General features: G+C 48.1%; 1 protein-coding gene across 11 annotated transcripts in view; it reads right to left on the bottom strand.

The window, feature by feature from the left end:
• DGLUCY (D-glutamate cyclase) overlaps positions 1-12,351 on the bottom strand; it is a 165,300-nt gene that overhangs the window by 34,738 nt on the left and 118,211 nt on the right. For all 11 annotated transcript variants that reach the window (NM_001358312.2, NM_001358310.2, NM_001358311.2 and 8 more), the window contains 2 exons: positions 9,506-9,709; positions 1,725-1,985 (listed from right to left, as the gene is read on the bottom strand). In NM_001358312.2, coding sequence (NP_001345241.1) covers positions 1,725-1,985; positions 9,506-9,709 — 465 coding nt within the window. The remainder of the gene's footprint in view (positions 1-1,724; positions 1,986-9,505; positions 9,710-12,351) is intronic.

Here is a 12,351-nt window from a genome sequence, read left to right as displayed (position 1 = left end):
ACCCTTGTCTCTGCACCCCAGTGATTGCTTACAACCCACACAGAACATGGCTGTCCCTGACTCAGAGAAATCCCAGGCTCCCCATCTCACCCAGAACAAAAGCCCAGCTGCCCACAGGGTCCTGCGAGGCCCTGTCCCATCTGGTCCCTGTTACCTCTCTGTCCCTCGTCCCACTTCTCTTTTCCTCATTCACTCCAGGCCAGTCAGCCAGCATGCCATCCTCTCTTAAACCCACTGGGCCCCCACTCCACCTAATGACCTCTGCCCCAGCCACTGCCACAGTCCAGGATGCCCTTCCCTCAGCCAGCCCAAGCCTCACGCCCTCATCATCAACCTGAATTCTGGACTCAAAGGCCACCTCCTCCAGGAGGTCTTCCTGGCCATTCTGTGTAAAGTGACAGCTGCCCCCCACTGCTGCCACCGCCCAGCCCCTCACTCTCCAGTCTCCTCATCCTGGTCCATTTTCCCCATGGCATCATCACTCGAACACACTGTGCATTCATCTTACAAGTTGTTTCTTGTCTGTCACACTCCACTGGAAGATACTCTCCGTGGGGGCAGGACTGTTGTCAGTTTTGCTCACGGGTGGATCTCAAGAACCTAACAGAGGCCGGGCGCGGTGGCTCACGCCTGTAATCCCAGCACTTTGGGAGGCCGAGGCGGGCGGATCACGAGGTCAGGAGATCGAGACCATCCTGGCTAACACGGTGAAACCCCGTCTCTACTAAAAATACAAAAAATTAGCCGGGCGTGGTAGCGGGCGCCTGTAGTCCCAGCTACTCGGGAGGCTGAGGCAGGGGAATGGCGTGAACCCGGGAGGCGGAGCTTGCAGTGAGCCGAGATCGCGCCACTGCACTCCAGCCTGGGCGACAGAGCGAGACTCCGTCTCAAAAAAAAAAAAAAAAAAAAAAAAAAAGAACCTAACAGAGTGCCTGGCACATACTCGAGCTCAACACACATTTGTTGCATGAAGTGGATTCTACACGTACAGACACAGGCTTTTGGAAACTTCTGACATAATGGGTGCTTTAGGGTATGCCTTACTGAGTTTAAAGCCCTTTTTGAATGCTAAAAGGAAAAAACATACCTCTGAAGAATGCATTTTGAGGGACACAGAGCGATCGGTAGCGGGAGGCAGGTGAGATTCACCAGGCTTCCAGCTCATGCCTGATAACACTTCCTGCAGGATGGAGGTGAGGTGAGCAGCGGTTGTTCACATTGAGCCCGACGCTGATCTGGCTACACGGATAGTGGAATTACAGCCTCGCGTCTCCAACACCTACAGCAATAACGCCCACCTGGGTGCTCCAGGTGCAGCCCTGCCCATCACGACCAGGTGGGACTGCTGTCTGAGCCTTTCAGCCACTTCATACTCCACTACTCTCCCCAGCTCTGGTGGTCCAGGGCTGCCCCGGATTGCTAAGAATACTCGGCAGGTCATTCCCCACACTGCAAAGGGACAGCAGCAGGTGTGCAGGAAGGATCCCATGCTTTGGAGCCTGGTGGACCCAAGTTCAAATTCCAGCTCACCATTTCCACCTGGGAAAATCCCCTGGATCTCTCAGAGCCTCAGTCTCTTCGTCTATGAAATCAAGCTATGCAGCTTACAACGGAGTTGTTCTGAGCTGGAAGGAGAATGCTCTGTACTGCAGATGCTGATTCCCTCCAGCCTCCGTCCACAAAGCCCGTTTGGGGAAATGGACCAAGCCCATCTCACTGCTTACCTTGCTCAACAGCATCTTCAACAATCTTCTGGTGCAAGTTCCAGGCTCTCTGGTCAACGATTATGGCGACCTCCTTCTCCAAGGCCTGCAGGAAGGCAACCAGAGCAACAGCTCCTGGTGGGCCATCTGTCTCTTCTGGAGGCTCATGATTGAAATGTGTGGGGAACCCAGTGGTGATGAGCACTGAGCGGGCATGGGACAGCGAGAGAGAGGCCTTCAGCAGCTCATCTTTACAGAGCAGGTGCCCAATCCCCCGGTTCCCTGAAATGACAAAAATAGAATGTAAAAGTAACTATATTTTTAAAATTATTTGTATGTATGTATGTATGTATTTATTTACTTATGATAGGGTTTTGCTCTGTCATCCAGGCTGGAAGGCAGTGGCGTGATCACAGCTCACTGCAGCCTCAAACTCCTGGGCTCACGTGATCCTCCCGCCTCACCCTCCTGAACAACTGGGCTACAGGCACGCGCCACCACAGCCCGCTAATTTTTTTTGGCATTTTTTAAAAAGATAGGACCTTGCTATGTTGCCCAGGCTGGTCTCAAACTCCCGGGCTCAAGCAATCTTCCCACCTTGGCCTCCCAAAGTGCTGGGATTACAGGCGTGAGCCACCACACCCAGCCAAAAGTGATTATTTTTAAAGTAGAAACTTTACAGTAAGAGTAGTTTGGGTTTTTAGTTCATTTGCTTTGTTTTTTTGAGGGCTGTGGCAGAGACTGCAAATTGCTTGCCACAGTGTATTCTACCCCCGCCCCCTGACCCCAGCAGTGAAGGACAGAGGGGTAAATGGCTGAGGAGCCTCCCTTCAGTCTGGTGTGGCCGCGAGATTGGGTTCTCTGTATTGGATCGTGATGGAAGTGACGCATGCCACCTCTGGGCCTGGCATGCACCTCCAACACACACCTCCAAGCTCGTTCCCTTTTCCTGGCAGCTGGAGTATTGACAGCCAGAACCTCCTGGGGGTCACAGGATGTAACGGCAGACCTGCAGGGTCCCTGAGTGACTGAGTGGAGCAGATCCCCTTCTGCTGACCCAGGACACTCACCCTGGAAGACCCACCCTGGCCTGCTGTGTGAGAGAGGAACACACTTCTGCTGTATTTGAGCAAAGCATCCCGGGGCTTCTAGGTTACAGCACTCTAGCAAACCCTAACTAATACAGGGAAAACATAAGAGGGAAGGGAAATGGTACAGACAGCACCATTAGCTGGGGATTCCCTCAAAGAAGACCCTGACACAAGGACCTGGGCACAAGTATTTCAGTGGGAGGTGATCCCAGGAAATGCAAGTGAGAAGATGGGGAAAGCGGAAAAAAAAACAGTAAAGGATTGTGAGTGAGCAAGTTAACTTCAAAGGCAACTGGGGCTCAGCACAGCTTGAGATTCTCTAAGAAACTGTGGGGTCCTCGGAGGACAGGAGACTGGGCATTTACTCACCTGCCTATTAGGGCGTTGAGTCCTCTGCACTACCAAGCTGTGCCTGCTGTGATGAGGGAGACTCTGGAGGGACAGAGGGCATCCTCAGATGGAGCAGAGACCTGAGCCTATGGTAAGAGGCTGTCGTGCTGGGAGCCGCCCATAATTCTATGCAGGTGAACCCAGGCAGCCCAGAGGATACGAGTGGGGAAGCTGCGGTGTGTGCTACAGGTGCCCACCAGTGGCCACCAAGCCAGGCAGCCGCCCTCATGAGGTCCCATTGTGCCTTTGTCTACATTCAGGTCATCTCAGAGCAAAACAGTGCACGCGAAGGCAGTGTGTGGGACACAGAACTTCTACTCTGGCGGTGGCTGAAATCAGCAGTGGACTGAAGGGACGTGAGAGGACGCTGGCTTATAGTTGAGGTGCCTGGAGAATATGAAAGACACGGGGTTGGCTGGGCGGGGTGGCTCACGCCTGTAATCCCAGCACTTTGGGAGCCTGAGGTGGGTGGATCACGAGGTCAGGAGTTCAAGACCAGCCTGGTCAACAAAGTGAAACCCCGTCTCTACTAAAAATACAAAAATTAGCCAGGCATGGTGGTGGGTGCCTGTAATCCCAGCTACTCAGGAGGCTGAGGCAGGAGAATCGCTTCAACTCGGGAGGTGGAGGTTGCAGTGAGCCGAGATCGCACCACTGCACTCCAACCTGGGTGACAGAGCAAGACTCTGTCTCAAAAAAAAAAAGAAGAAGAAGACATGGGGTTTGGATTTCTGTTATGGAGGAACAGTTCCTGATTTAGAACCAGGAAACTTGCATTCCAGTCCAGATGCTGGCATATCGTAGCTGTGTGACCTGGCCTCATCCTTTGACCTCTCTGAGCCTCAGTTTTCCCACATGGAGAATGGGAGGTAGTCCAGATGTAGGAGGGTCACAGGGACATGGCCCATCACATAGTGTGCTGGGAGGAGTGGACACTGGAGCAGTGCTGTCTGGAGGGTGATTTCTGTCTTAGATTTGTGCATTCCACTGGAGCCAGCGAGTCACTTCTCGTGCCCACTGTTCCTAACAAAGTCATCATGGGCATGTTCACAAACTTAGTCATAAGGATGTTCATTACAGCATTGTTTATGGTATTAAATAACAGCATATTAATAAAATAGTGGAACATTTGTAAAATGAAATTTTAGGTCAGGCACAGTGACTCACATCTGTAATCCCAGCACTTTGGGAGGCTGAGGCAGATGGATCACCTGATCCATCACCTGATCCATGGTCAGGAGCTTGAGACCAGCCTGGCCAACATGGTGAAACCCCGTCTCTAATAAAAATACAAAAATTAGCCGGGCATGGTGGTGTGCACCTGTAATCCCAGTTACTCAGGAGGCTGAGGCAGGAGAATCACTTGAACTTGGGAGGCGGAGGCTGCAGTGAGCTGAGATCGCACCACTGCACTCCAGCCTGGGTGACAGAGCAAGACTCTGTCTCAAAAAAAGGGGGGGCGAGGAGAAGAATAACAACATTTTTAAATAAAAAAATTGGGATGTAACCTACTTCCTAGGGCATGGTGAGCTCCAAAGGGAGAAGAGGAGAGTGAGAACTTGGTCAACTGTAAATTGGTAAATACATTTATGATGATTTTATCATCAGTGCAAAAATCATTACTATAAACCCTATATCCCTTCATATTCCCCAGGCACCTCAAATGCAAGCCAACATCCTCTCAAAAATGACTAAGTGGGTCTATTATTATGTCCAGTGAGTAACGCTCAAGATGCTGTTATGAATCTTCTATCTGCTTATTTAATATAGTGGGGATCAAAAGCATCTGTTGTTCTTGAGGATTAAAGATGGTCCTTAACAGATGACATCAACACATCCAACAGCTGTAAATCTGCCTCCCCCAGCCTCATCCTTCAAGCTTTGTCTTGCAGTCTGCACAGCATTGATGGGTGGTGTTTGTGGCTGACCTCTTAGCTTGTTTTATTAAGCAATGGGTGCACCACATCTGCAATAAATTTACTTCCCAATTACTTTTTTTTTTTTTAATCTGAGCTAATGGTAGAGTTAATAATTCATCTTCCCTCATGACTCTGTGCTAAATGGAGAGCCATCAGCTTGGGTAAGAATGTTTGTGAAGGAGAAGGTATGGCAGAAATTTTAAAAAATATACCCACCCAGAGCACCAGGAGCGGTGGCTCATGCCTGTAATCTCAACACTTTGGGAGACTGAGGAGGGAGGATTGTTTGAACCCAGGGGTTCAACACAGGGAGACCCCATCTCTACAAAAAAAAATTAAAAATTAGCCCAGCATGGTGGTGCGCACCTGTAGTGCCAGGTACTCGGGAGGCTGAGGTGGGAGGGTACCTTGAGCCCTGGAGAGTGAGGCTGCAGTGACCTATGATTGCATCACTGTACTCCAGCCTGGAGGACAGAACAAGAACCTGTCTCAAAAAAAAAAAAAAAAAAAAAAAAAAAAATCCGGCTGGGCACGGTGGCTCACACCTGTAATCCCAGCACTTTGGGAGGCCGAGGTGGGCAGATTGCATGAGGCCAGGAGTTCGAGACAAGCCTGGCCAACATGGTGAAACCCCAGCTCTACTAAAATTACAAAAATTAGCCAGACATGGTGGCACATGCCTGTAATCCCAGCTACGTTGAGAAGCTGAGGCACAAGAACTGCTTGAACCCAGGAGGTGGCGGTTGCAATGAGCCAAGATCACACCACTGCACTCCAGCCTGGGCAACAGAGTGAGACTGTGTCTCAAAAGAAAAAAAAAATCCACCCAGGGGATCAACTATGTAAGATACTTTATGTATACACAGTCATGAGCATAACCTATGAGGTGTATCTGTGGTGGGTTTATATCCTTAATTTACTATAGGATTATATGTAAAGGAAACCACATTCTCTACAGAATGAACTAATGAATGAACAACCTAACAGAAGACAAACAGGCAAAGAGCTATGTCCAGTGGTTCAGCAAGAAATTTAGTTACTACAGATGCCCCTGTCATTGGAAGACAACTTTTGCTCCTAGGCCCAGGGGAGAGAATCAGACATTTCCTTCCTTCCCTCCCTCCCTCCCTCCTTCCCTCCCTCCCTCCCTCCCTCCCTTCCTTCCTTCCTTCCTTCCAGAATCAGACTCCCTCCCTCCCTCCCTCCCCCCCCCCAACTTTCTTTCTTTCTTTCTTTCTTTCACAGGGTATTGCTCTATTGCCCAGGCTGGAGTGCAGTGCTGCAATCATGGCTCACTGCAGCTTCAAATTCCTGAACTCAAGCGATCTGCACACCTCAGCCTCCCCAGTAGCTGGGACCACAGGCGTTTGACACCACCACACCTAGCTAATTTTTATTATTATTGTTTTTTCTAGAGATAGGATCTCTCTACATTGGCCAGGCTGGTCTTCAACTCCTGACCTCAAGTGATCCTCCCACCTCGGCCTCCCAAGAATTAGGTATTTCTAGGGCTGGTCTGCACTGTCAGATTCGTGACAGTGCTGGCCAGCAGGGGAAGGTCCCAGCCTGTCTGTTTTGGGGTTCTACCCAGCTGCTGTAGGCTTTAAACTGGTGCTGGAATCAGTCCTGTCTGGGCCCTGGGAGTCTGGCCCAGATTGCTGACTGCTGCTTTGCAGGCTGGCCTCACCCCTCAGCTCTCCACGGAGGTCGGCCACCATTGATGCAGGTAGCTACCTAGATCTTCCCACTGGCCCACCTGACTCTGGGGAATGAGAGTCAGGTGGGCCGGTGGGGAGGCCACATATGCCTTCTCCTCTCCAGTCATTCCAGGTGCCAAGGGCGGTTTGTACCCCAGGTTTAGGAGCACGGCCCATGAGAAGGTCCAGAAGAGGGACTGGGGTGTGAACCAGGAGTCGCTAGAGCACTCTTTCAACTGCCCAGGCAAGACTGTGACTTACCGTTTCCATTGAGATTCTAATTTAGCTGACAGGTATAAATCATAGGCTTGAAGTCAGCAGACATGGGTTCAAGTTCTGCCCTGACCACCTACTAGGTATGTGGATTTTGGAAAGTCTTTGTACCTTATCTGCCTCAGTTTCCTCACCTGTTAAATGAAGTTAATCATAGCTGCCTCCACGTAGAGTCACTGGGAGAATTTAATAAGATGAAACGCATAAATGCTTGCAGCCTGTTGCCTGGCACAGTATAACTTGGTAGGTGACACCATTATCCTTATCATGCATCACAACCCAGAGAGGCAGGCATAATTGTCATCACTCCTGTTACGCTGATGAAGAAACTGAGGTATGGGCTACACCGTAATTCTCTCATGAGTGTTTGCCAACAAAGGGATTTACCACACACAATGGCAGGTGAAACTGCAGTCCCTGCTGGCCACCTGGGATTAGAAATTCAGCCCTTAAATGAAGACATAGCAGGAAGTTAAAAGCCCCTCAACCAGCTTTTAGCAAACCTCTTTCTAATTGGAATCAGCAGGGCCAGGCATGGTGGCTCATGCCTGTAATCCCAGCACTTTGGGAGGCTGAGGTGGGCAGACCACTTGAGCTCAGGAGTTTGAGACCAGCCTGGGTAACATGGCAAAACCCCGTCTCTACTAAAAATACAACAACAAATTAGCCAGGTATGGTGGTGCCGGCCTGTAGTCTCAGCTACTCAGGAGGCTGAGGTGGGAGGATTGCTTGAGCCTAGGAGGTGGAGGTTACAGTGAGCCAAGATCGCATCACTGCACTCCAGCCTGGGCAACAGAGTGAGATCTTGTCTCAAAAAATAAAATAAAATAAAATAAATAAACTAAACTAAAATAAAAAAATAAAAATAAATAAAAATATAAAATAAAATAAAATAAAAAATAAAATAAAATAAAATAAAATAACTAATTGGAATCAGCAGGTCCCCTAGGGGATCCCACCAGCCCTCTCCCATGTACAGAAGGCCAGTGGCTCCAAAGCCACAGAAGGGCTATCCTTCCCCTGAGATGCGTTATACAATATACAAGTTGACTGCAAACTGTTGTGAGGCTGTGGCTGTAGGGTCCTGCCCCACTGGGATCCCCGGAGAAGTAATCCTACCCCATCACTATCCCTGCTATCCAGTATACAACTAATCTATTCCATGCCCAACCCCAGGGCAATGGCACTAAAGGGGGAGATTAGGGACATCACTAAATCCATAGAGGACAGGCTAGGTGGCTTATGCCTGCAGTCCCAGCACTTTGGGAGGCCGAGGCGGGAAAATCACTTGAGCCCAGGAGTTCAAGACCAACCTGGGCAACATAGTGAGACACCACGCCCCCATCTCTAAATAATAATAATAAACTACATAAATAACTTTTTTTTAATGGTGGCAGTTGCCTACCTAGAAACCATTCTCTCTTTTTTTCTTACTACCTAACCCCATCTGCTTCTGGCTGGCAACATGCCCAGCAAATAAACTCAACGAACTTCCTCACGTTTAGTGTTAAAGTTTAGAACAACAAGAAAAAGCCAAAAACTACTGGACATGGTGGCTTACACCTGCAATCCCAGCACTTCGGGAGGCCGAGATGGGTGGATTACCTGATGTCAGGAGTTCGAGACCAGCCTGGCCAACATGGTGAAACCTCGACTCTACTAAAAATACAAAAATTAGCTGGGTGGGGTGGCACATGCCTATAGTCCTAGCTACTCAGGAGGCTGAGGCAGGAGAATCACTTGAACCCGGGAGATGGAGGTTGCAGTGAATTGAGATTGCACCACCACACTCCAGCCTGGGCAACAGAGTGAGACTCCATCTCAAAAATAAATAAATAAATAAATAAATAAATAAAAAGCCATAAAGAAGAAAGCAAGGCTGGGCATGGTGGCTCACGCTTGTAAACCCAGCACTTTGGGAGGCCAAGGTGGGCGGATCATGAGGTCAGCAGTTTAAGACCAGCCTGGCCAACATGGTGAAATCCTGTCTCTGCTAAAAATACAAAAATTAGCCAGGTGTGGTGGAGCGTGCCTGTAATCCCAGCTACTCAGGAGGCTGAGACAGGAGAATCACTTGAGCCAAGATCACGCCATTGTTCCAGCCTGGGCAATAGAGTAAGACTCTGTCTCAAAAAAAAAAGAAAAAAAAGAAAGAAAAGAAAGAAAACAAAAGAAAGAAAGAGAAAGAAAGAAAGAAAAAGAAAGTAAGCAAAAATCACTCACAATACCACTACCTAGAGACCATCAATGTCAGTATTTTGGTGTATTTAATTCTAGTCTTTTTGAGATTTATATGCAGTATCAACATTTAAAAAATCATCCTGTGGATACATTTTGCATCCCACCTTTTTCACTGAAAAGGTGATTTTCTCCAGGTGCAAATGTGTTGTTTCTTACCTGGGTCTATGCCGAGCAAATGTGTTGTTTCTTACCTGGGTCTATGCCGATCATAGACTCTAGTTCTCTGATCTTCTGAGAAGCAGAGACTGACGCGATGCTGTAGTGCAGAGGATCTTGGGAAATGTGATGGACCTCTGGAATTCTCTCTGGGGTGAGACAACCAGGTGGAGCCTTTGCATCCTTCAGGTCAGTCATAACTGTGCAGCCTGGGATGCTGGCAAAAGCCAGTGGGGTCTCTAAAACACACAGCAGGAGGGTCTGAGCCCAGCCACTTCATCAAGTCCAGCCTACCCTCATCTAGCCCACTGTTGATAGGCAAGATGGCACCTGGCCATCAACTCAGCCTAAGCACTCCCTATACCACCTGCTGGCACCAAGGTCAGAATAAGCTGGTTTATAGCTACATCAAGTTCCATTTAAACAGTTGCCTCTAATCTCTAGGAAAGTAAAGATGAGTTGAATATGGGTTGAAAAGAAGTGAGATACAGCCACAGCTATAGCTAGAGCTCTAGGCGATTCCATCAATTTAACCCATGGATATCAGGAAGTGTTTACTGGATTCTTAAAACTCATGAAGCCATCTTGCTTTGCTTTCCAGCAAATGTTAGGTTTGGAACCCTCTGTGAGCATCATTTCTATTTTTCCTTATGGCATCGTTTCTATTTTTCCTTATGGCACTTACATTTTGCTTTGATTTATGTTAATTTTATTCTTTAAAGACTCTCCTTTGTTAGATTTCAGGCAATGTGAAACACTCTAGCATAGTTATTAAGAACTGGTTTTAGCATTGTGAATATACTGGAATTTGAGATGTGACTTTATTGACTTTATTCTTTTTTTTTTTTTTTTTGAGATGGAGTCTTGTTGTGTCACCCAGGCTGGAGTGCAGTGGTATGATCTTGGCTCACTGCAACCTCTGCCTCCTGGGTTCAAGCGACTCTCCCGCCTCAGCCTCCTGAGTAGCTGGGATTACAGGCACCCGCCACCACGCCTGGCTAATTTTAGTATTTTTAGTAGAGACAGTGTTTTACCATGTTATCCAGGCTGGTCTCAAACTCCTGACCTCAGGTGATCTTCCCCTCTTGACCTCCCAAAGTGCTGGGATTACAGGTGTGAGCCACCACGCCCAGCCCGACTTTATTCTTTAAACCTGTTTCTTTGACTGTAATGATAATGCCTCATATGGCTATTGTCAGAACGAAACTGGAAAACGTACATAAAAGTGTTTAGCAGGCAGGGCGCAGTGGCTCACGGCTGTAATCCCAATACTTTGGGAGGCCAAGGAGGGTGGATCACCTGAGGTCAGGAGTTCAAGACCAGCCTGGGCAACATAGTGAAACCCTGTCTCTATTAAAAATACAAAAATTAGCCCAGCTTGGTGGTGCGCCTGTAATCCCAGCTACTTGGGAGGCTGAGGTGGGAGAATTGCTTGAACCTGGGAGGCAGAGGCTGCAGTGAGCTGAGAACACGTCACTGCACTCCAGCCTAGGCAACAGAGCAAGACCTTATCTCAAAAAAAAAAAAAAAAAAAAAAAGTGTTTAGCATACTCGTGGTTTAAAAATGTAAAAAAAAAAAATAAATTTTTAAGAAAGTGTTCAGCAAAGTGCTTGTTTCAGAGTAAGCCCTCGATGGTTTGCTTAATTGAACAAGCATATATTTTTTTTTTTTTGGAGACGGAACCTTGCTCTGTCGCCCAGGTTGGAGTGCAGTGGTGCGATCTCGGCTCACTGCAACCTCTGCCTCCCGGGTTCAAGAAATTCTCCTGTCTCAGCCTCCTGAGTAGCTGGGATTATAGGCGTGCACCACTACACCCGGCTAATTTTTGTATTTTTAGTAGAGACAGGGTTTTGCCATGTTGGCTAGGCTGGCTCGAACTCCTGACCTCAGGTGATCCTCCTGTCTCAGCCTCCCAGAGTGCTGGGATTACAGGCGTGAGCCACCGCACCCAGCCTCATCTATATATATTTTTAAAGAGATAAGGCCTTGCTCTGTTGCCCAGGCTGGAGTACAGTGGTGCAACACAGCTCACTGCGGCCTCAAACTCCTGGGCTCAAGCAATCCTCCTGCCTCAGCCTACCACAGTGCTGGGATTACAGGCATGAGCCACAGAGCCTGGCCTGAACCACGTAGTATCTTACTCATTCTTAGTTCCTTATGCCTAGCTCATTAAGTGCTTAATACCATACTATTTACCTCTTCTGCCTTCCTCAGTGTCATTACTATCTTTGAGTATTCATCTCTACTCAGTTGTATGCTCCTGGAGAAGAGCGACCATTGCTCATTCATCTCAGGATCCCACAGAGGGCCTTGCGCATAATAGGTGTTCAACAAATGCAGATGTGAATTGAGTAAATAAATCTTGGATTTCACAGAAACAATAAAGTTTCTTTTTTTTTTGAGACAGAGTCTCGCTCTATCACCCAGGCTGGAGTGCAGTGGTGAGATCTCAGCTCGCTGCAACCTCCGCCTCTGGGGTTCAAGCAATTCTCAGCCTCCCAAGTAGCTGGGATTATAGGTGTGTGCCATCACGCCTGGCTAATTTTTGTATTTTTAGTAGAGACAGGGTTTTACCATGTTGGCCAAGATGGTCTTGAACTCCTGACCTCAAGTGATCCGACCACCTCAGCCTCCCAAAGTGCTGGGATTACAGGCGTAAGCCACCACACTTGGCTTAAAGTTTCATATTTAATAGAAAGAGTCAGCCAGCACTTCAAAATAAAAATCTAATAGATACATAACTTTTAGATTTGATGTGTAAGGGGAAAAAGTCTTGAATCTGATGATGAATTTAATTATCGCTTGTCTGTGTTTTGGATGGCACCTAAAACTGGTCACTCCAAAACCAGGTAGATGTCAGAACAGTCAGCTCAGAGCATG

This window comes from Homo sapiens, chromosome 14 (assembly GCF_000001405.40).
Source record: "Homo sapiens chromosome 14, GRCh38.p14 Primary Assembly".
NCBI lineage: Eukaryota > Metazoa > Chordata > Mammalia > Primates > Hominidae > Homo > Homo sapiens.
This window is presented reverse-complemented; position numbering and strand designations above follow the sequence as displayed.